Source organism: Homo sapiens, chromosome 1 (genome assembly GCF_000001405.40).
Source record: "Homo sapiens chromosome 1, GRCh38.p14 Primary Assembly".
In the NCBI taxonomy this organism is placed as follows: domain Eukaryota; kingdom Metazoa; phylum Chordata; class Mammalia; order Primates; family Hominidae; genus Homo; species Homo sapiens.
Genome location: NC_000001.11, coordinates 49,146,197 through 49,171,823, shown reverse-complemented (window position 1 = coordinate 49,171,823; position 25,627 = coordinate 49,146,197). Strand labels below are relative to the sequence as shown.

The 25,627-nt window shown below is 38.5% G+C and overlaps 1 protein-coding gene and 1 pseudogene across 10 annotated transcripts in view; one reads left to right on the top strand and one right to left on the bottom strand.

The window, feature by feature from the left end:
* AGBL4 (AGBL carboxypeptidase 4) overlaps positions 1-25,627 on the top strand; it is a 1,501,444-nt gene that overhangs the window by 852,131 nt on the left and 623,686 nt on the right. The gene's annotated exons all lie outside the window — the stretch shown is intronic.
* Positions 20,321-20,434, bottom strand: LOC124904851 (uncharacterized; annotated as a pseudogene).

Below are 25,627 nucleotides of genomic sequence, written 5' to 3'. Positions count from 1 at the left end.
AACATATTGATAAACTGTGATAATCATATACATGTAGTATATTAGGGCGTGGGCACAGAGGAAAAAGTGAGTGTCTCCCTGAAGGATATACAAAGGTACTGGAGAAAGAGATAATTTCAGGCCACAGAGCAAGCAACATTACAGTCATTGATCATACTTTCTGAATTGGCATGTAAGGAAGGAACAAGACACCCAAGGAAGGGTGATGGTCAGTGGAATGACTATCATATTGTAGTTCCTTCACTTCTAATAGTTAGAAACATATGTGAGTTATTCTCCTACATCACTCGTTTCCAGGGTTTATTTCTAGATATATCCTTGCAGGAAAAAAAAAAGTCTTTTTAAAATGTTAATCTGTTTCTACTCTAAACCCATTTGGAACTGAAGTGTTTTGGTTGGATCTGAAAATCACTTGAAATATGGGCTGTGATCAAGCCTTGTACTGGAGTACACTGATGAATATAGGTGGTGTGTAACCCACACACATGGAAACAGAATATTCAGACCTCATATCTGTCCACCCACTATAGGCAGCAGAATAATGATTTTGAATGATGCCTTTGTTTCCTCTCCCCAAATAACACTTGAAGGGGTCCTTGTGCCTGGAACATTACAAAGTGAAAAGCAATCGGTTAGGGAATTAACTGTAGAATATGTATGGTAGATTCTTACAGTTATAGCCTCCAATGAAACACACCTCCCTGAGTTCATACCCTTTTGCAATGTGACATTAACACTTTCTTATAAGATGTGGAATCTATTTCCCAGGCTTTCAGTCTGGACTGGCCTTAAGACTTGTTTTGACCACTAGAATGTGTCAGAAGAAACACTTTGTGATTTCTGAAGCCATACGGACATTAAGAGCCCTTGCCATATCTGCTTCGGTGCTATTAGAATGCTTCTGTTATTATGTGAAGAAGCTGTCAAACTACCCAGCTGAGTCTAGACCAAATTCCTAATGGACATAATTTTGTGCAAATAAATGGCGCTGTTACTGTAACTTACTAAGCTTTTGGGTGATTTGTCATATAGAAATAGATAACTACCATAACAAAGAATCAACTATTTAAGGTTTAATATTGTTATATTTATCCAAGGATAAGTTTTAAATGTTCTCAAAATAGTCACAATTCATATATATATATATACACATATTTAAAACATATATAGTTTATATATTTGACATTCAGTGTATTAATGAATATATACACATTAATATATAAATGTTTATGTTTATGTATAAATACAAATATTTAAATGTAAACATATTTGTATATTAATGTATATATTTATATATACATATATTATAGTAATTTATAAATATATATGAATATAAATATATAAATTTATATAAAATAAATTTATATATTATATAAACATATATATTTATTTATATATAAATATTTTTACATAAATATATATTATATAAATATACAATAACTTACTCATGGAACCAAGAGTGAGACAAAATATAAATATATAATATATGATATTTATATGAATATAAATTTATAACATATTTATATGAATATAAATTTATAATATATTTATATGAATATAAATTTATAATATATTTATATGAATATAAATTTATAACATATTTATATGAATATAAATTTATAACATATTTATATGAATATAAATTTATAATATATTTATATGAATATAAATTTATATATACTTTTTATTTCATTAGCTTTTGGGGTACATGTGGTTTTTGGTTACCTGGATGAATTGTACAGTGGTGAAGCCTGACGTTTTAGTGCATCCATCACGTGAGTTGTGTACATTGTACCCAATTTGTACTTTTTTAATCCCTCACTCCCCTCCTGCTCTTCCCCCTTCTGAGTCTCCAAAATCCATTATACCACTCAGTATGCCTTTGCATACCCATTGCTTAGCTCCCACTTATAAGTGAGAAAAATATTCACAATTTTGAGGCAGCATGGTTTAGTGGAAAGGCATGGGGTTTGTCTTTATGCAAACTTGGATTCTGGTCATCTGAATATCTCACCTAACCTCTTTGAACCTCAGTTTTCTCATCTGCAAAACCAGAGAAAAAAGTCTAACTTTATAGGCTTGGCGTATGGATGGAGTGACCTAAAAGTAGTAAGGCAGATGGTGCCCGGCACATAGAATCACTCAATACACATGGATTTAGACTTCATCCCCTAAGCAGGATGGGAAATAACTGCTTAATGGGCTGCCTTCTGAAGTGATGAAAATGTTTCAGAACTCGATAGAGGTGGTGGTTGCAAAACATTGTTGTGACTGTGTTAAATGTCACTGAATTGTTTACTTTAAAATTGCAGTTAATTTTGTTATATGAGTTTCACCTCAATAAAACAAAATATGTGACCACATGACATGGATGATCTGGGTTGGAACTGATGAAGCTGCAAAAAGTGAAACAGAAAAATGCAAGCCCTTATAGGAGTAGAAATAGACCGATGTAATCCATTCAGCAAGGAATAATCCAGTTGTTATACAGATCAGGAGGGATCATGGGGCAAGATATAACCAGCTATTTAACTGGCCAGGCAATCTGTGAGTTAGAGCAGAGGGTAAGTACTGTGCTACAGCTGAGCTGAGTTTCCTTCCTTCCTACAACTGTGACACTTCCACTGCTTTAGTATTATACTTTCTCTTATATGGCTTTGCTAGTCTAAAATGCTACTTGGCTTCCCTGAGGCAAAAACTTATGCTAATACGGCTTTTCAATTTGGGTTGGAGGCAATCTCAGGGCACCAAGAGTGAGACAAAAAGGGAATTAATATGGAGAAGAGATATAGGAAGCATACATATGCAGGTTACCAGCTGACCACAGCTTTGTTTCTCAGTCTTTCTCATTTCCCATTAGTGAAAAATGTGCCCTATAAAGCATCAATCCCTCCATACATTAGGTTGTGCCACCTGGTCCCCAGCGGCTGCTGACAGCAGCAGAGACATCAGCAGAGTGAATCATAGGATACAGAATGAGCCACTAAGGAGATGGATGGTATGCAACCAGTGCACTCCATCCTGGCCCACCTGTGGCCTGAAGCCCCATGGATCCAGTTAGGTGAGCCAATATAAGTGTGTGGGCATCAAGCAGGTACCATAGTTATTGTACCTCAGCAACAACAGGGAAGTCCTTGGTGCAGGTGGCAAGAGTTGCATGAAGCAAGACATGAAGCCAAGCTCTGCTGGGTCATTCCTAAAACAAAAATCTAGGGCTGCACCCACAATAGGCCTAGCTAGCTGAACAGGCAGAGTGCCAAGGCAACATGACCCCCACCATAAAGGTAGCAAAGGAGCTCAAAAGCCTCACTCTAACTAAGATAAACCCTTTCTTCTGCAACCTCCAAGACTGTGGTTGGTGCCAGGTGATCTTTCCATAGGGTTATTGGTAGCATCAAGGAAAAAACATGCTTGAGCAATCTGGGGAGGTGAATAACTTGGTTGAGTATTCTCATCTGGACTATTTCTCTAATTGCTATCCTCCAGATCACAGCAATTTGGCATTATCTTGTAAACACTGGACATTTACATTAATAGCCAGCAATTCTACTTTTAGGTAAGTATTCGAAAGAAACTCTTAACATGTGCATCAAGATACAAGATTGATCATAGTAGCCCTGGTCATAATGGTAAAATCTAGAATTTATTTAAAAAAAAATATAGGCATGGTTTAGTGTTCTTAGGTATTCGTTCCAGGAGCCCCCTCGGATATCAAAATCTATGGCTGCTCAAGTCCCTTATATAAAATGGGATAGCATTTGCATATAACCTACACATCCTCCCATACACTTAAAATTATCTCTGGATTACTTTAAATACCTAAGACAATGTGAATGCTATGTAAATAGTTGTTATACTATATTTTTAATAGAATTATATTATTGTTGTATTGTTATTTTTATTATTTTTAAAATAGTATTTTTAATCCACTGTTGGTTTAATCTGTGGATGCAGAACCTGCAGAGAACCAACTGTAGACAAAACAAAATAAAGTACAATAAGGTCATGTGCAGACAGATGATGAGAGTGTTTCATGAAGCATGGATTTGCACTAATTTAATTCGGTGTACGCAACATTCTCTAAAACAAATATAATTTTTTTCTTCCTATTCTGAATCTCAGTTGAATCATAACATAGAGCACATGGAATTCCTAGAATACAATGATTTATTTTCTACCTTTGTATATAATGGTCCTTTGGCCTGCTATGCTCTTTCTATAGCCACTCCTTTTCATTCTCTAGGCCTCAGCCTAAGGAAATATCCTCCCTTTGGGAAGGAGCAGTGGAGCCTTTATAGAGCTCAAAGACCTAGGCAGGTGCCTGGTCCATTCATGAGGCCAGCCTTCTTTGAGTAATGAATGATATGGTGATGTGATCATTGACCCAGCTCATGTTAATAGAATCAAGAAATTATGGTAGGCTTTCTAGTAGAGGGTATCTCTTCTGTCAGATAGAGAAGTAGAAATAATGATAACTAGGCATATGGAAAAAATGTGAGCAAAAGTGTGAAAGAGAGAGTGTGTAGACTACATTCCAGCAAAAATGAGAGGTCTATATTCTGTCAACATATAAATATAGTAATAGAAAACTAGAGGCAGATAAGTTTAACATATTGGCCTTGAGCTAAAGTTTGAAAGGTATTGATTATCTTGTTAAGAAACTTGTATTTTATACGGGTGACAATGTGAAATTACTGAATGGCTTTTAGGCAGGAAGGCAATGATCAAAGCTTTTTGTAGGAAAACTAACAATTATGTGTGGAAAAGGTTAGGTAAGAGACATTCAGAAGCTCTACAAGAAACCACAGTATAAACATTGGGTGTGGTCATCTAGACTGTTGTGGACACCAAGCTATATTGAAAGGGCTATTAATGTGTTCCTGAAACATGAAATTAATCTTGATCCAAAATGGGGAAGAAAAGAATCATGAAGTTAAAAGTCATGAGGATTATCAGTAAGTTAGGTTATAGACTAGTAAGCAAGCCAGTGCAAGAGGTCAAGGCTAAGATTCTGGGTGTAACAAAGGGTTAAGACTCCTGCTTTTATGTAATTATGAAGTAAAAGCTGAACAGAACTATGAAGAGCCAGGTTAGAATTGGCATAAAGGTGATATATTTGGAAATGTGAGTAATGGTTTGACAGGAGGTATAAGGATGTAAAGAGGACTAGTGGCTATAGACTGATGTATTGCCTATGGACTTTAATACTTTGGGAGCTTAAATTGTTCTGGATGTATACTTTATTCAACTCAAGTCTATAATCTACACCATGCAAAGTTTTCTACAAAGATAAATTATATAAATACCTAATAACATACTAGAGTTCCGGGAGACTCGGTTACAAATTAGTATTAAGATAGCTACAGAACCAAGTTAAACCACTAAATTACTCTGGAAAGGTAGGCAGATAGACTTTGGAGTGCATGATTTGCCTGAGTACCATCATGGAGTTCTTGGCTCCCTACAAAACATTAACATGACAAATTAGAGTTTCGATCATGCCAGATATAACAGTATCCATTTGTTTAATTAAACAATTGAGGCTGTTGTTAGTGTGGGTCATTTTTAAAAATGTTAAAAGTAAAATTAAACACATAATTAAGCTGACAAAAGATAAAGACCCCGATGCTCCAAGTTGAAGGCAGTTAATTTATATGAAGCTGGGTCCCTGAAGGCACCACAGTTTATTAAATTTCCCAGGCAGGGATGTGAAATATATTATTTAGTTGTTAAATGTTAAATTGCTCTGACACTTTTAAGGTCCACAAGATGCAGTCAATTAGAATGCCTTGTTAGCTAGCTGTTGTTTTTCTTCTTGAAAGGGTCCAGAATCTAAAGCTGGGCCCCTCTTCCTTATTTTTCATTACTAGAAGCATCCATGTCCTATTCATGGTTGGTTACATAATCATAAATTCATGGGTGGATAGACCCCAGGAGTTTATTATTATTAATAGTATTGAGTTGAGAGGACCTGTGCTTAGTGTACCAATTTGGGCATGATTCAACCATGCATCCCTTTCTTCCTTCCTTCCTCCATCCCCTTCCCTCCTTTCTTCCCTCCCTCAATAACTTTCTTATTTTTCTCTTTCTATCTTTTTCTTATTTAATTCCTTCCTTCCATCCTCCCTCCTTTCCTCCATCTCTTCTCTGTCTCTTTCCTTCCCTCATTCCCTCCCTCCTTCTTTTCCCTTTCTTGTCTGTTCTTCTGTACCATTTTTCTCATTTCTTATCACATTATCAAGATTATACTATTTATTAAATTCCCTTCCAATTTTGGAGTTCATAATTTAATGCCAGTTGCCTAGTTGAGGTAGGAATATCCCCGACAACAGCTTCCCAAAGTTGACATTCAGTCTCCACTCATATTCTTTTAGCCACAAGCCACATATCACCTTCCAAGGAAGCCCAGTCTTTCTCTTAACAAATGTATCTCTGGTGATAATGTAAAAAGTTTTTCTTGAAGTAAACTCAAATTTGTCTCCCTGTGCTTCCATGTTGAATGAATGTTTCTCTCCTCATATTATTTTCTTTATGACTTTCTACAAACCTTTTTTCTAAATCTAGAATATTTCTTTACTATTCTATCCATATCAATTTCTTCCTTCGTGCCTTTGCTCTTGTTATTATCCCTCCAGAAATTCTTCCCCTTGTCTATATCCTTTAAGTATCATATATCTTCCTCACTTATCTAGACCTCACCAAATGCTTAACACTCCTAGTCAGTACCAACCAGATGGACATGTCATTGTCTGGAATGTTTCAGGCATACACATTATACATTGCTCCATTTAGGAGCTGTTTTGGAGTATGTTCCTACTGATTATTTATGGAAAGGCAGGAGCCTTTCCATAAAAGGAGTAGAGAGACTATGGAGCTGGCTCTAAACCCCACCCAACAGGGAGCTAAGCAAGCTCCTTGTGCTGAAAAGTTCTCCAGTTGCTCAAAATTTATAGAAACCCTTGGTCACAACCAGTTGAATGGTCAGCTCTGCACAGGGAAGATGAAACCTGTGGAGTATCCCACAAGTGAGTGGGCATAGTGACTGGAGATCGAAGATAGATAATATTCCATAACTGAAGCAAACAAACATAATTTAAGTTATCAATAGGCAACAGATGACAAAATAAATCCCAGGAAGGTTAAGTGACATTCCTGAGGTTATACCTTTCCTAACTTTACTAACATTAACTAGCAGAGTTAGACATGAATACAGAGTAAAGCCGTCTTAAGAAGGTAAGATTGCAAAGCAGCTCACAAGAACTAGAGCTCTGAACCTTTGGGATCTCTTTTTCATATGCCTTTGTCACTTATCATACCCTATCTAAGATTACAGTTGCTTGTGCGCTTCTTTGTCTCCTTTTTGGGCTAAAAAAGCTCTGTAAAATCAGAGCTGGTCCTCATTCATTTTATATAGCAGCAGCACTGAAATCTTGCTCTCGAGTTACTGGGGGATAGAGGTTTTAATGTATTCCCTTTGTGAATACTTGGGAGGTATGCTGCTATGTAATATGTGGTGCCCCAAAGCTAAGGCAATTGACCTGGTAGTTTTCCTATAAGTGTGTCTCTGACCCCACTACCCTAACCTAAATTTCCTTCCTCTAGCCTCCCATTTGGTCTCTACCTGCATCTCTGCATTCTCACTCCTACACGACCCTTACATCCAGGTATAATTTATATATTGCTGGAACTATTTTCCTGAGTAACTTTTATTTTCCTAAAATATATTCCTTGTCACCTCCTACACACATATACTATGCACACAACCTATAAAATTCACAATAAATTCTTCACTCTTTCAAGGTCCTTCAAAATGGTTCTAACCTCCCTTCCTATCCTGGTTTTCTAACGGCTTCGTGAATGGGATTTCATACTGGCCTCCAAACATGCATAAACCATACCCCTGTTCCAACTTTCGCAGCCCAGTGCTTTTGCTCGGGTTAATCCATAGACCCAGAATACCCCAAGATTCATTTTTTTATTGTGATCCTTTCTATCTTTTGAGGCTCTTATGAACTTCTACCCTCTCCATCATGCCTTTCTTGCTTTCCAAACCTGGTAAACTATCTCTTCTTTAGCCTCCTTTTAAGCTGTATTCATCTTTCAGGAAATATCCTAAAATTTTGAATTAAGTCATAGTTATAATGTGTGATTGATTTTCATTTGTTTATTAATTCGTTCATACATCAACAGACGTTTATTGAGAATAATTACCTGTTTTGTTGCTGCAGCCTTTAAAATTTGAACAAAACTGGGGAGCCTTTTGCATTGAGAGGCTCATAGTCCAGCAAAAGAGACAAGATATTTGTAAACATACGCTAACAATATAATGTGGTCAACCATAAAAATAGGCATGTACAGAATCCTATGGAAGCAAATAGGAAGGAACCAAGTACTTTGATGACTAGGAATATCAGAGAATCTACCAAACGTTAGGTGACATTTGAACTGTGACAAAGGGATGAGTAAGAGTCTGCCAGAATCAGGCAAGAATGGTGGATCAGCAACCTGGATTTTTACAACATTATAAGCTTGATGAGAAGGAGGAAAGTGTCTTATTCATCTCTTTATTCTCTTTCACTCTGCCCTGCACATAGTTAACACTCAAATATTTGTTGAATGAGTAAGGGAATGAATGTGTGAAAGAGTACTTGTTCTAAATGCTAGCTTGATGATGAGGCAAACACTAAAATAGTTCCAAGCGTTATCCTAAATGAATGTCTTCTTTGTGAAAGCCTATTTACCAATTGCTGAAGAGCTCCATTAAGAATGCAGACATGATAAAATATATCTATATATAAATATTTGTCTTTGTTCAGGTCACCTCCTGAGGAAAATACCCAGATATGGAATTGTTGGATAGAAGGAGGAGTTTCAGAATTGATACATGTTACTGAATTGCTTTTCAAAAATAGGTATCAAGCAAAACAACAAAGAAACTCATAGTTATTGATTTTCTATTATGTGTTAATTGCTGTGCTATCATTTTAAAATATATATCAGCTTACCAAAATCTCACAATTATATTGAGGACTAATTATTATTTCCACATTACAGAGGAGAAAACCAAAACTCAGAAAGGTTAAGGGACCTGTCTTAGGTCTCCGAGGTAGTAAATGACAGAGCTATAATTAAAATTCATGTCAAAGATTTCAAAGTCCAAAACCTGTCTACTGCTACACAAAGTAGAAAGGATAAGCTTATTATATTGGTTTGACTGGAATGGCAGATTTGTGTGGGCATTCATGAAAGATCAACTTGAAGGCAGTTCCATGAAAATATAAATACTAAGTTGTGGATTTATTTTTGTTCTCATAGGCAAGAACAAGTAAATACCAACCCTAATTCTTAGCAAATATAACACATTTATTCATTTGTTCATTTATTCATTTATCAGACATTTACTGAGTATGACTATGTCATGTGATTCATATATGATCTGGAATTTATACATGCAAATATATGATGTTCCTTTTAAAGTAACTCCAGAAATATAGGGCACATGTTTGGGGATGAGATGCCAATTTCTGGACAGAGTAAATGTCAATTTTAGGGACATAATAGAAAAATAAGACAGAACATCATCATCATCATCACCACCATCATCATCATCATAATTGCTATTATTATTATAGTATGTTATGATATTTATTAACATAGTGGCCAGTGTTTATTGATTGCAGACTAATTACTGACCATAATGCTAAGTGCTTAACATATATTATCACAATCTTCACAACCCTCTGAGAAAGGTACCCCTATCTCTGTTGCCCAGATGAAGAAAAGTGAGATTAAATAAGTTCTCAAGATCAAACAGTTAGTAAGAGATTGCACTTGTTGGGTAGCTAAGTAATTTTACCTTCATTTTGCAGATAGGAAAATGAGGCTCAGAAAGTCAAGAAAACTGAAAATTTCTCAAGACCACACAATTAAAAAGTGGTTCTCAAATGGCTCCTTCCCAAGAGGCATGATCCTGAGAGGGACTGCTAAGCTCTGAGCAGGGAGTAATATCTTAGAAGCTATGGTTGGAACATTGCAGTATGTGTGCTTCCCCGTGGACAGACTTCAGTGTGAAGAACCAAAAGGGAAAATTGAGAGACAGAATCTTGGGTGAGTTACAGAATCAAAAAGCCAGTAGACCCACCAAAGGAACAGCCAATCACAAAGGCCAGGAGGGGCTAGGTATAGAGAGAGTGTCCAGATGTGAAACTAGAATAAAAATATTATTAGCCCTGAGGTGCTAATCGTCCAAACCTAAGAAAGTCTCAAGAACCTTTGAAAATCATAAATAGGTGTTTAAATAGCCATTGGGAGATTGCTGGCAAGATGGCTGAATAGGAAGAGCTCTGGTCTGCAGCTCCCAGTGAGATTGATGCAGAAGGTGGGTGATTTCTGCATCCAACTGAGGTAACCAGTTCATCTCATTGGGACTGGTTGGACAGTGGTTGCAGTCCATGGAGGGTGACCCAAAGCAGGGCGGGGCATCACCTCACCCAGGAAGTGCAAGGGGTCAGGGAACTCCCTCTCCTAACCAAGGGAAGCTGTGAGGGACTGTGCTGTGAGGAACCATGTACTCGGCTCCAGATACTGTGCTTTTCCTATGGCCTTTGCAACTGGCAGACCAGGAGATTCCCTCCAGTGCCTACAGAGTAGGCGCCCTGGTTTCAAGGACAAAACTGGGTGGCCATTTAGGCAAACATCAAACTAGCTACAGGAGTTTTTTTTTTCATACCCTACTGGCACCTGAAATGCCAGCGAGACAGAACTGTTCACTCCCCTGGAAAGGGGGCTGAAGCCAGGGAGCCAAGTGGTCTAGCTTGGCGACTCCCACCCCGAGGGAGCCCAGAAAGCTAAAAGCCACTGGCTTAAAATTCTCACTGCCACCACAGCAGTCTGAGGTTGACCTGGGATGCTCAAGTTTGGTGGGGGGAGGGGCACTGGCCATTGCTGAGGCTTGAGTAAGCCGTTTTACCCTTGCAGTGTAAATAAAGCCACCTGGAAGTTCGAATTGGTTGGAGCCCACCACAGGTCAGCAAGGCCGCTGTGGCCAGACTGCCTCTCTGGATTCCTCCTCTCTGGGCAGGACATCTCTGAAAAAGAGGCAGAAGCCCCAGTCAGGGGCTTATAGATAAAACCCCTATCTCCCTGGGAAAGAGCACCTGGGGGAAGGGGCGGCTGTGGGCACAGCTTCAGCAGATTTGAACGTCCCTGCCTGATGGCTCTAAAGAGAGCAGTGGATCTCCCAGCACAGTGTTCGAACTCTGCTAAGGGTCAGACTGCCTCCTCAAGTGGGTCCCTGACCCCCATGTCTCCTGACTGGGAGACACCTCCCAGTAGGGACCGACCCAGACACCTCATACAGGAGAGCTCCAGCTGGCATCTGGTGGGTGCCCCTTGAGGAAGGATCAGGCAGCAATATTTGCTGTTCTGCAGCCTCTGCTGATTATATCCAGGCAAATAGGGTCTGGAGTGGACCTCCAGCAAACTCCAGCAGACCTGCAGCAGAGGGGCCTGACTGTTAGAAGGAAAACTAACAAACAGAAAGGAATAGCATCAACATCAACAAAAAGGACGTCCAATCGACCCCATCCAAATGTCACCAACATCAAAGATCCAGGTAGATAAATCCGTGAAGAAGGGGAGAAAACAGTGCAAAAAAGGCTGAAAATTCCAAAAACCAGAACATCTCTTCTCCTCCAAAGTATCACAACTCCTCACCAGCAAGGGAACAAAACTGGATGGAGAATGTGTTTGACAAATTGACAGAAGTACACTTTGAAGGTGTGTAATAACAAACTCTTCCAAGCTTAAGGAGCACATTCTAACCCAATGCAAGGAAGCTAAGAAGCTTGAAAAGAGGTTAGACAAATTGCAAACTAGAATAACCAGTTTAGAGAAGAACATAAATTACCTCCTGGAGCTGAAAAACACAGCATGATAACTTCCTGAAGCATACACAAGTATCAATAGCCAAATCAATCAAGCACAAGAAAGGATATCAGAGATTGAAGATCAGCTTAATGAAATAAAGCATGAAGACAAGATTAGAGAATAAAGAATGAAAAGGAATGAACAAAACCATCAAGAAATATGGGATATGTGAAAAGACCAAATCTATGTTTGATTGGTGTACCTGAAAGTGACGGGGGGAGAATGGAATCAAGTTGGAAAATGCACTTCAGGATATTATCCAGGAGAACTTCCCCAACCTAGCAAGACAGGCCAACATTCAAATTCAGGAAATACAGAGAACACCACAAAGATATTCCTCGAGAAGAGCAACCCCAAGACACAATCGTCAGATTCACCAAGGTTGAAATGAAGGAAACAATGTTAAGGGCAGCCAGAGAGAAAGGTCGGGTTACCCACAAAGGGAAGCCCAACAAACTAACAGCAGATCTCTCTGCAGAAATCCTACAAGCCAGAAGAGAGTGCGGGCCAATATTCAGCATTCTTAAAGAAAAGAATTTTCAACCCAGAATTTCATATCCAGCCAAACTAAGCTTCATAAATGAAGGAGAAATAAAATCCTTTACAGACAAGCAAATGCTGAGAGATTTTGTCACCAGCAGGCCTGCCTTACAAGAGCTCCTGAAGGAAGCACTAAATATGGAAAGGAAAAACTAGTACCAGCCAGTGCAAAAACAGACCAAACTGTAAAGACCATCGGTGCTATGAAGGAACAGAATCAACTAATGGGCAAAATAACCAGCTAGCATCATAATGACAGGATCAAATTCACACATAACAATATTAACTTAAATGGAAATGGGCTAAATGCCCCAATTAAAAGACACAGACTGGCAAATTGGATAAAGAGACAAGACCCATCGGTGTGCTGTATTCAGGAGACCCATCTCGTATGCAAAGACATACATAGGCTCAAAATAAAGGGATGGAGGAAGATTTACCAAGCAAGTGGAAAGCAAAAAAAAGCAGGAGTTGCAATCCTAGTCTGATAAAACAGACTTTAAACCAACAAAGACCAAAAGAGACAAAGAAGGGCATTGCATAATGGTAAAGGGATCTGCAACAAGAAGAGCTAATTATCCTAAATATATATGCGGCCAATATAGGAGCACCCAGATTCATAAAGCAAGGTCTTAGAGACCTACAAAGAGACTTAGACTCCCACAGAATAATAGTGGAGGACTTTAACATCCCACTGTCAATACTAGACAGATCAACAAGACAGAAAATTAACAAGGATATTCAGGACTTGAACTCAGCTCTTGACCAGGCAAAAATAATAGACATCTACAGAGCTCTCCACCCCACATCAACAGAATATACATTCTTCTCAGCACTACATGGCACTTATTCTAAAATTAACCACATAATTGGAAGTAAAACACTCCTCAGCAAATGCAAAAGAACAGAAATCATAAGAAACAGTCTCTCAGACCACAGTGCAATCAAATTAGAACTCAGGATTAAGAAACTCACTCAATGATAGTTTTTTTTGCTGTGCAGAAGCTCTTTAGTTTAATTAGATCCCATTTGTCAATTGTGGCTTTTGTTGCCATTGCTTTTGGTGTTTTTGTCATGAAGTCTTTGCCCATGTCTATGTCCTGAATGGTATTGCCTAGGTTTTCTTCTAGGGTTTTTATGGTTTTAGGTCTTACATTTAAGTCTTTAATCCATCTTGAGTTAATTTTTGTATAAGGTGTAAGGAAGGGGTTCAGTTTCAGCTTTCTGCATATGGCTAGCTAGTTTTCCCAACATTTATTAAATAGGGAATCCTTTCCCTAAGAGCATCTGCACAGCAAAAGAAACTATCATTAGAGTGAACAGGCAACCTACAGAACGGGAGAAAATTTTTGCAATCTATCCATCTGACAAAGGGCTAATATCCAGAATCTACAAAGAACTTAAACAAATTTACAAGAAAAAAATAAACAATCCCATCAAAAAGTAGGCAAAGGATATGAACAGACACTTCTCAAAAGAACATATACGTGCAGCTAAGAAATATATGAAAAAAAGCTCATCATCACTGGTCATTAGAGAAATGCAAATCAAAACCACAATGAGATACCATCTCATGCCAGTTAGAATGGCAATCATTAAAAGACAGGAAACAACAGATGTTGGAGAGGATGTGGAGAAATAGGAATGCTTTTACACTGTTGGTGGGAATTTAAATTAGTTCAACCATTGTGGAGGACAGTGTGGCAATTTCTCAAGGATCTAGGCCCAGAAAACCATTTGACCCAGGAATCCCATTACTGGGTATATACCCAATGGATTATAAATCATTCTACTATAAAGACACATGCACTCGTATGTTTATTACAGCACTGTTCACAATAGCAAACCCTTGGAACCAACCCAAATGCCCATCAATGATAGACTGGATAAAGAAAATGTGGCCCATATCCACCATGGAATACTATGCAGCCATAAAAAGGATGAGGTCATGTCCTTTGCAGGGACATGGATGAAGCTGGAAACCATCATTCTCAGCAATCTAAGACAAGAAGAGAAAACCAAACACCTCATGTTCTCACTCATAAGTGGGAGTTGAACAATGAGAACATGGACACGGGGAGGGGAACATCACACACTGGGGCCTTCTGGGGGGTGGGGGACAAGGGGAGGGATAGCATTAGGAGAAATACCTAATGTAGATGATGGGTTGAAGGTTGCAGCAAACCACCATGGCACGTGTATACCTGTGCAACAAACCTGCACGTTCTGCACATATACCCTAGAACTTAAAGTATAATAAAAAAAAATAAAAATGAAAAAAGTATCTGCCAAACTTTTTCTCATTAAAAGAATGAAAATCATAAATATAGTTAACCCCCACTTGAACTAAATTCATTCAGCAACCAATTAATCTAAATTAAATCAAATTATTTTAGTTGTTTCTTTGTTCCAAAGTATGTTTGCCTGAATGTTAAGTAATACCTTTCAGTTGGCTCTAAAGATTGTGTTCTTTGCTATTTATGGTATTCATAGCTACCCTTCAAGATGGCTCCCAGTGATCTTCACCCTAAACTCTTGTGAGTCTCCACTCACACTGTACCATAGTTAGCATGTGTGATAAATAAAATCTGGCATTAGTGATGATAAGGTTATATTAATCGATAAGGTTATATTACTCTGAAATAAGTTTATAAAAGATATGATGGGTTCTATCTTGGTTGCACTCACTCTCTTTTTTCCTCTCTGGGTAAAGCCAGCTTCCATGTCACAAGAGGTTCTATGGAAAGGCCTATGTAATGAGGAACTGAAGCCTTCCAAGCCATGCCAATGAGCTTGGAAGCAGTTCCTCTAGCTCCAGTAAAGTTTTCAGATGTCTATAGCGCTACAGCTTGATGAAAACCTCATGAGAGGCCTTGAGCTAGAACAATCTAGCTAATTTACTCCCAGATTCCTCATTCTCAGACACTGTGAGAGATAATAAATGTTTGCTGTCTTAAGCCACTAGAGATTTTGGAGTAAGTTGTATACAACAATATATAGCCAATGCACTATTTTATTACTCAAGTCCAAGGAAAATGGACATTTACATTCAATAGCTCTTTCTCAGAGCTTTGACTCATCTCTTGTGTTAGCATCGGGGATTGTGAATTTCCCATCTATTGTCTACTCTAGGGATGATTAACATCAGGATGAATGCAAATGTAAGATAGGGAGCTGTTACCGTGATGTGTTGAGTTAAAGGAAATGTGTGGTCTAGAAGTGCATGACCAGGTTGAAGTCAAAAGATTGATATTAGATTATTGTAGCTGCAGTGGTAGCAAACAAGAGTCAGAGATTCAGCATAGGGCCTGACACTTAGTTGGTATTCAATAAACGTCTGATGATCTAGATTCTTCACTCTTGAGCTAATTCTACCTGTCTTCCTCTTCCTGGAACTCTGTCATCATAGATAATAGAGGCAATACCCTGTCTAGATACAATTTAAGAAACATTAGGGTACAACCACATGTAGTACAGAGGTCCCTGGTAGACTACCATTTACTGGGCAGGCCAACTTTGGTAGATCAGCCAGGAAGATCATGTTTGCTATAAAGATCCAAGACCACATTCAGGAATAGGTGTTGTTAACACTGTTATCTTATCATCTGTGAGTTTCCTGTCATGGCCACCTTATTGTTATTAGATATCTGTTTATTGTCCCATGTGGAACTGAGAAGATGCCCCCTGACATCTTACTTTACTCACCTACTGATGGAAGCCCACTTCTCTATTTTTTAGATTTTGCTATCTAGGACTATAGTGTCTATAGGATAAATAAACCCTAGAACCAGGCTATATGACTTGAAATTCTGGCCCATCACTTAATATCAAAGAAACTTGGAAGAGGCACTTGAACTATCTAATCTTTATTTTCCTGAACTGTGGAATGAGATAAAAATAGCCCCTATCTCAAAGGATTGTTGTGATAATTAAATGAGTTAATGCAAGTAAACATCTTAAAACAGTGCCTGGCACATAGTAAATGCTCAATATATCTTACCTATTACTGTCATTATTAGTACTATGAGGCACCCTGGTTTAGAGGAAAGAGCTTGGGTTTTAGGGTTGGATGCACATTTTGGCTCTGTGACCTTGAACAAGTTACTGATGTCTTTGAACCTCAATTCCTTAATCTGTAAAAAGGTAAGATATTATCTACATTGGAGGTTATTTTAAGGGTTAAATAAGATCATGCATACACATATTTGCATCATAGTTTTCTTCTCTTTCATTAGCAAGGTTATAAGTGCTAACTCTAAAACCTATATTTTTGAAAAGTAGCATCTGTCATCCTAAGAAAAATATCTGTGAAGAAGAGTGCACTGTTTTAAAGAATGGTAAATGGTTCTATGTTTAGCATCAGATGGGCAAAAGCATTTAAGTTCATGGTTGGATGCTTTTGAGTTTTCATAAAAATAAAATCTAACAGATATAATTAAGTATGCAGCATTTAGAATGAGAGTAGGCACTCTTCATTGTGTGGGCAATAAAACCTGGAAGAAAAAACAATCAATATGTTGGAGCAATTAAGTTTTCAGCTACAAATAACTAATTTCAATCCTCATGGTTTTTCTAGGATTCAAATATATTGCTTATTCTTCTTAAAATATTAATATAGCCCTGAATTATTTATGGAGCCAAGAAACACTGTACTCTTTTAACATGGAAGAGAATGGAAGGTTATTTCATGTCAGCACCATGGGAGACAATAATAAATCTGAAATGTAAATAATACCTCTGAGAATAAAGCCTGGTTGAAGGCCACAGTTTGTGTTTTCTAGACTTTTTCTTTTGTGATACAGAAGTTGGAAAGCCAATAGACAATGCTATTCTAGACTTAACGATTCTCTTAGGGTTACCAGTATTTTGTGCAGTGTTGAGGTCAGTCTAGAAGTTTTGATCACTTATAATAATATTATTTAATTTCATGTAATTTAAAGAACCTACTATAATAATAGCAATAGCTATTATTTATTGCATTTTATTATGTCCTGAGTACTGTGCTGAATGCTTATATACATAACCTTTACATCTTTCCTCTTAATGACTCTGTAAAGCAGGTACTGTTACTTTCCCTGTTTTCCAGGAGAAGACACTGAGACCAAGAAAGGTTAAATGTTTTGAATCACTGGCCTCTGACTCCAGAGCTCTTTTCCTGATGTAACAACTTGCTGCCTTCACCCATAGACAACGTTAATTGTTCTTGCCTCTGGCATTCTACAGCAGAAAGCCTGTGCTTCTGCTGCACTCTGCTTGGCTTTGTAGACATTTTTTCTTGTTGGTATTCTCCACTATTGTAGTGGAAAGAGCATAGTCTTTGAAGTTAAACAGACCTGGGCTTGATTTTTATGTCTTCTCTCGCTAGCAGTATTATCTTGAATTACCTAGTACTCAAAATAAATCTCTGAGGTAGGAATGTTATTGTCTCATTTTATCATTTATGAATCTGGGGTTTAGAGGGGTTAAGTAACTTGACCAAGGTCCTACTCCAAGTATGTGAAGGAACTGAGCTTGTATCCAACTCTATCAGAAGCTTCCAAATGTATCTACATAATTATAAATATTCAAAATTGCAATTTGTTAACTTGGAGATTATCTAGTGGCCTCCTCATTTTGCAGATGGGAAAACAAGGCCCAGAAAGAGTTTAGGTATTATTACCTTCATTTTACATTAGAGAAGATGAGAAAAGAAGGGCTAAAACTCCTGAATTCTGTACTTTTCTAGAACTGCCTAGTGGTTTGAAATATTCCTGTTGAGAAGGGTTTTGCTACCTCTCTTGATTGATGGAAGGGCTACTTACTCTATTAGATGGTGGTATAAAGGAAGCTATTGTGGAGTGATGTGCATAGAGAAATTCTCTCTTTTCCTTTTGTTAACATTGGAATGACTTTTATTTGCTTTGACCTTGGATTTCTTTTCATCATTAAGAGGGATATATTGTGTGTTTAAATATTGTATTATTAATAATATTTGCCTGAGTGCCGTGTCATGATCAATTTTTCATGTGTATCATTCTTTATGCAGCACTAGTTGAATTTCAAGCAGAACCTTACCTTCACCTCTCCTCCCCTCAGTGACAGTCTTCAGCAAGAAGAATGGCAGGCCTGAAACTCCTTATCCACATGGGAGATCAAAAATGCCTCCCTATGTCAGTCCAAAATTCTTTTTGAGATTAGGGCATCATGAGGCATCTGTGAGGAAGTGGTGGATATCTTTCTAAACCTAAACCTTGTAGTGGAGAATCCAGGTGGTATCAAAGCCCCAAACGTCCCTTAATCTCCTATGACTCTATTGTCTCATCCAAGTCTCCTCCCTCCCTTCCTTCCCACCTCTCCCCTTCCATGTTTCCTTCTTAAAACATTCCTGTCAATGGACCTCTCCATTCTGATTGTGAGGCAGACACTCAGAGCAGTGTGACTGGCAGTATGATCTCGGAAGATAAAAGCTCCCTTTACCTTAAACTAATATATTAGTTTAAAAGTAAAGACCGTATTTATTTCTGCCCAGAATTATATTTATTTTTTAAACCCTGTGTGGGTGAAATTTTATTAATACACTTGTTTTCCCAGGTAGCTTCTTGGCATATGGCCAGATTGGCATATTGTTCATCTCCCAGAACTCCAGAGAATATTTGAAATAGGGGACAGGTATGCTTGCCCCAAGTTCACTAATAAATCTAGTTAATGAAAACTGCATTAATTTGGTGATTTGTGCATGAACATTTTCACCCCATCTGCTAAATACCTCTTCTAAGGCTCCAGCCCCAGAAATGTATGGGAAGAATCCCTAGGTGGGGTTGTCATCTTTACCTCAGCAGCCTTTCAGATGCTTTTGATGCAACTCACAGGGTCATCTTTCCTCTTATCCACCTGTTTGTCTATCCCAGGGCTTGGAAGATTACTAACTTGGTGGGCGAGACTGGATGCTTTTTTAGAATAGGGATCATTTCTTATTCATCTCTGAAACCACAGGTTCCACACGTGACTGACAGAGTGAACACTCAGGATGTTTGAAGAAGGAAGGAAAGGGAGAAAAGAAGGGAAGAGAAGGGAAAATAAATACAGGAAGGGAGTGCTTCCATTCAGTCACCTATTCCACCAGGGAAAGGAGGGTTTGTGTGGCTCAGTGCTCATAGCATAGTGGTTAGAGGAAGTGTGTGAAGTAACCCAGACAGACATGGTGCTGTCTACAGCATACTTAATCCCTTTGAATTTTAATTTACTTTTCATTAAGTGGGAATGATAGTTTCTACTTTTTAAATTTATTATAAAACTTAAGCTAGTATATGTAAGATACTTGACATACTATATGCTGTATAGCAAGTGGTCAATAAATGTTACATTTTATGTTTTTTTTTTTAAGTCTTATTGTCTCTCTTTCCAGTATTTTTCCTATTTGTTGCCTTCACTGTGAGCCAGAAAATTCCTTCCTCTGGAAGCCTTTATCTCTGAAACCCAGCATTTCCAAAAATGTTCTGGGAAATAGATGTTAATAGGTATTACATAAAGGGGGAAGGATTCATATTTAAATACGTTTGAGAAGTACTGGATTAAAAATAAATTAACCATATTCTTTACAGCAGGACTTTTTACAACACTGAAATATGCTACTACACGTTGTAATTCTTCAGAGGGGACCAGTGCATACAGTATTTCCTGAAGTTATTTGATTATAGACCCTCTCTCTGTCTTTTTTCGCCAGAATATCTTATGGAATTAGTGTTCTTAGGAACTTATTTGCTCAACACTGCCCCAAAGAATTACCAGGTTTTTTTTTTTTTTTGTAACTGTCAACAATTCCACAAATTCTCTTTTTATTTACTGAAGCACGCAATGACAGTTTTTTTCTTCACATCAGATGGGTAATGGGCCAACATCATAATAAGGTTTGAGAGAGGCATAGCTCACACATTATTGCATTATTGTGAAAAGTTAATCATCATGCTTAACAAATTTTTTAAACTATCATTGGAAAACTTAAACAAATAATGGTGACAAAAACTTCCCTGAATCTCCTAGGTTTTGTTTATGTGTATGTGTGTGTGTATACATATACATATATATATATATATATTTTTTTTTTTTTTGAGACGGAGTCTTGCTCTGTCACCTAGGCTGGAGTGCAGTGGCACGATCTCGGCTCACTGCAAGCTTCGCCTCCCAGGTTCATGCCATTCTCCTGCCTCAGCCTTCACAGCAGCTGGGACTACAGGCATACACTGCCACGCCCGGCTAATATTTTTGTATTTTTAGTAGAGACGAGGTTTCACCGTGTTAGCCAGGATGGTCTCGATCTCCTGACTTCGTGATCCACCCTCCTCGGCCTCCCAAAGTGCTGGGATTACAGACGTGAGCCACCGCGCCTGGCCTATATGTATATATTTTTAAAGAGAGTTTTAAATTGTATTTTAATTTTCATTAATCTATTAATTTCAGAAATATTTCTCAGTATTCATTATTTGCCAAGCACAGTAATGGACATCACTGGAGTGTAGAACTGATAGGAAAGAGGCAAACAAACTTTCAGTTACATGTAGAGTGATAAGAATCTATAGGATAACGTGGAAGCTCATTGGAAGAACACTTAATGCAGCTTTGAGGGATCCGAGAAGGGTGCCTGGAGGAAGTGATGTTGCTGATGGAATCTCAAAGATAAATAGGATTTAGCCAAATGAAAGTAAGTAGTTGGGGAGAATGAGTATATAGGCAAAAGGAAACATCATGTGCAGAGTAGTGAGAGAGGCATGTTGAAAGAAATTCAGTGAACTGAAAAATAAAAGTGAAAATAGTACATTTTATTGTAGCAAATTTTGAAAGTAGTGAAAAGTACACATGAAACAGCAAAATCCCCTCAGATTTCTCCTCTTAAAGACAAGTCAATATCGTATCCTATTTCCTTTGTCTTTTTTTCTATGCATTTTCCATTTACATAGTAGAATTTTAGAATATATATAAAATTCTGCCGCTCACTTGTAATATTATATTGTGAGAATGTGTACAAATTGTGAAAGATTGCCTTGAAACTTTATTTTTAATGGCTGATTATGATATACCTGTAGGTGCATAGGTGCGACTTGTAGTGACCCTTCAGTTGTAAGGGAGGAACGACAATGTACCAAGCAGTCCTCAGATATTTTCCTTTATCCTGTCTCTGGTGACAAGATTCCATAGTTAAGTCACTAGCTAGACATGTTTTACACTGATCTCACCAAGGCCACCCCTAAGGCGTGCAGGGCTCCAGGCAAAGATTTTTTGTGATGCCTATGTCTATATAAACAGTTTGATTAAAAATTGTATTACAAAATTTATAGACCTCATGTGTCTATATTTATAGACCTCATGTGAGGTCCATGAATTTAGATGAAGATGTAGAATAATGTGTAGAGAAGATACTTAGGTATTTGTTTATTGTTCAATGAGTGCATGTGAAGTATCCGGAGCCATCTTTTCATATTCTTTGTTGTCAAATGCATAGTTTCTGAAGACAATTTTATATCTCCCACATGCAGAAAAAGCTAGCACTACTGTTATTACTCACAATGCATGGCTTTTTGGGGCATATTTGTAATGAAACAATATAGGTCTTCTTGCCTCAGCAGTTTCCTAATACTATTTACTTAACACTGGTTACATCATTACTCGTGATGCTTCAGCATTCATGGTACCGCTACAAATACTGGTTTTTAATGATGTACACAAATGCAGGGCTCATCTTAAGTATACAGAAAAATGTGAATAAATAATTTATTTGCTGGTTATGTTAAATGTACCATTAGGAATTGTATAGCATAAACGTAGATTAACACATCTTCCAACAATGTTTTATCTTGAATTCTAGCTTTAGGTTGTAGTCCCTACATTCCTAGAATGTACTCTGTCAGAGTTCACTGCACAATGTTAACTGCCTTTCACATACCACCATCAGCAGGAAGAATAAGCAAGGAGCCCAGATACAGAGAGAAACTGTTCTGTTTGTGCAAGGAAAGTGTGTTCTCAAATGGCACACCTCATTAATGGCCCAAGAGACCACAACATTCACACTTGGATTGGAGACAATGAGAAAGGCTTATTGGAGATACAGAGTAACAATTTTGAAAGACTTCAAAGAAGATAGATATCTCATGATAGGGACAGCTACTTCTGGAGAACATCTTAGCACTGTAAAGAGACTGGTAACTACTTAGCAGAAGAGGATACAGGGTTAAGGATGCCTGCTGCCACCCATGCTATCTTCAGTTGCTGTAAACCTGGAGACAGCACCTTGATTAGAACATAGATGGGCAAGAGCCAATGCCTGGGTCCATACATAGCTCAAGTCCAGAGGTCAGTGGTGGACTATCAGTATCTCAGAGCTCTAGACGCTTCCTGTGTCCAAGATAAATGAGAGTCACCCAAATTCAGTATGTTGGCACCATTCTGGTGGCCCAATCTTGTATGATTCCATGAAGGAAATACACAGAAGTGATCGCTTACCCAGGCATCTATCTTATCCTGGAACTGGGACATGGGACAAGCCCATAACCATAAGTTCTGGGCCTTCTCAGAGCATCTGATTGTCTCTACATCTGGGGAACTAGAAAGATTGCGAACACCCTGAGAATGAGAAAGGAGGGCTGAGATATGCCCTGCCCAATTGTCACTGCTAGTCCTGGTTGATCTCCAGCACTGGAAGAGGACTGAGAAAATTTCAAGTTAGGCACGTCTAGTGACCAGGACCCAGAGGAACCAGGGCTCAGGACATCCTGCTTGGACTGCACAGCCAGCCCAGGTACTAAAGAAGGACATAGACATTTTTCAAAAGACACTCCAAAGTCTGGGAGGGTCCCCACTTACCACAGTCAGAAGGCACTACTGCGCCTGGCTCAGCAGTTTCAGTTCTGGCTCAGTGATAAGTTTCAAAGAAATAATTCCCACCTCCCCCTCAGAATTATACCCACAATAGGTAGGTAGGGTGTTGAGTGGGAGCTGAACATTTTTACTTCAGAGAAACATGCAATTCCCACTGTTTTTAAAGAAAAGCCATGTCCTTTTAACAGAAAATAGCCAAATCCTGGAGACTACCATGGAAACCACTGGAAACCCAGTGACATGCTCCTCACATTATGAGGGATAGATAGTAATAATAACGACACTAATCAGTGTAATAAAGTTTATTAATACCTAATGTATTCGAGGAACATGCTAAATACTTTATGTATGTTTCCTTTAATTGTACTATAGTCCTACAAAGTATTATCTCCATTGATGATATGAAGAAATCAAGGCTCAGAGAAGTGAGGTGATTTACCCATGGCCACTCAGTTGATAAGTTGCAAAGCCAAGCCCATGTGATTTTGTTACCCAAGTTCTTTGCATTGTATCTCGCTGCCTTTTGGTTTGCAGGTACCCTCTGAGGATGCAGAAAGATCCCTGCTTTGGACACAGACAGGATAGTGCATAGGGAGATACTGGAAGCAACTTGCATGACTTGAGACTCCTCTCCCCCAGCCTAAGACCTGGCCACAGGGCTTTGTCACCCCCCCTCTCCTTCCCTGCTTGAAGCACTATCCATCCTTCAAGCCTATAGGCTCTTCCCAAGCATGCCATTAGATGTTTTTTTCATAATTTCATTTATACATCAACATCTTATTTCTCAGTGGGCTATAATTAGGCTTCTTTCCTTTTTTTAAGTAAACAAGCATGCGTGTGAAGCATCTTGGTAAATGACCTTCAAACTGTTAGCTGGCCTGGAAAGTATAGTTTTCACTGGAAACCTGGAGGTGGCAACTTTTCTCCTCTTACGAGGTATGTGGAAATTCAGAGACCTTTATACTAGCTACTGTGTGACCTTGGTCACATTACTGCTTCTGCCTGGATCAGTATAAAACGGGGATGAGAATAGGAAATTTGGAGTAGATAAGATCTAGCTAGTGGCAACTTGCTAGCTTGTTCTCTCTCTCTCTCAAGCTGACATGCAGCAGTGGTGTGAAATTGGGCACACACATCTTAGAATACACTCCTGTGTAATCATGGGGCAGTGTGGTAGAAGAGAAAGAGCATAGACTTTGGAGTCACAGAGCTCTGGGTTTAAATCTGCCTTTCTATTTCTATTTGTATGATTTCGGGACAGTCATTTAAACTGTCTGACAGTTCAGGCAATTGTGTCCTACCCCAGAGTCTCCAGGGCATGGATTTTCAGATGTCATTCTGCAGAATGATTAAGACTAGCAGATATTTCTGTGATGTCTCCTCCCCCACCCCACCACCTTGCAGACATCTGTGGACAGAAAAACCTATCTCCTGCTCCACCTCCTGTGTCGCCTCCCTCACTGAGCCTGCTCCCTTGGCTTTTCTGCTTCTCTATAAGGTCAGAAGCATTAGCTTTGTGCTGCCTTCAGCATTCTGAGTTTTCTGAAGCTGATGAATTATGATTTCCTCCATGCCCAGTCCTTTTACTTCTGGCTTGGAGGCATTGTGCTCCCTGGCTGCTCACTGCTACCAGGCTGTGCCTTCATAATCAGATGTTTGGGTTGGCTGTAATGATGATGGATGAGGCAGAAGAATGGCAACAGGTACTTTCTGAAGCCCAATCATAGGGCTACACAGGGAGCCTGGTGTGGGCCCTGAGGCCCCATCATGCTCCTTGGAGGGTGTCTGGGGCACTTCTCAGTGTTTTATTCATGGGCTCAGGACAATGGTGCATGTATGACAAGTATATCTGATGAAATGAGACAGTCACCACCACCATCCCACTTTATAGCTACCAACTCTTCATTCTCCTGGCTAGCTACCTGGGGAAGAAGAGTTTTTCTCTCAGCTAGGTGTTTTCCGTTTCAACCAACATTTTTTCATTCATTTCCTCACTCATTCATTAGAGTTCTGTGTTTCATCACACCACACAGACACATGGATTCTGTGATCCCCCACAATGCTAGATACCTTTTTATTTTTTATGGTTTTAATTTTTTTATTTTTAATTTTTGTAGATATCTAGTAGGTATATATATTTATGGGGTATATGAGATATTTTGGTACAAGCATGCAATGCATAATAACCACATCATGGGAAATTGGGTATCCATCCCCTCAAGCATTTATCCTTGGTGTTACAAACAATACAGTTATAATCTTTTGGTTATTTTTAAATGTACAATTAAATTATTATTGACTATAGTCACCT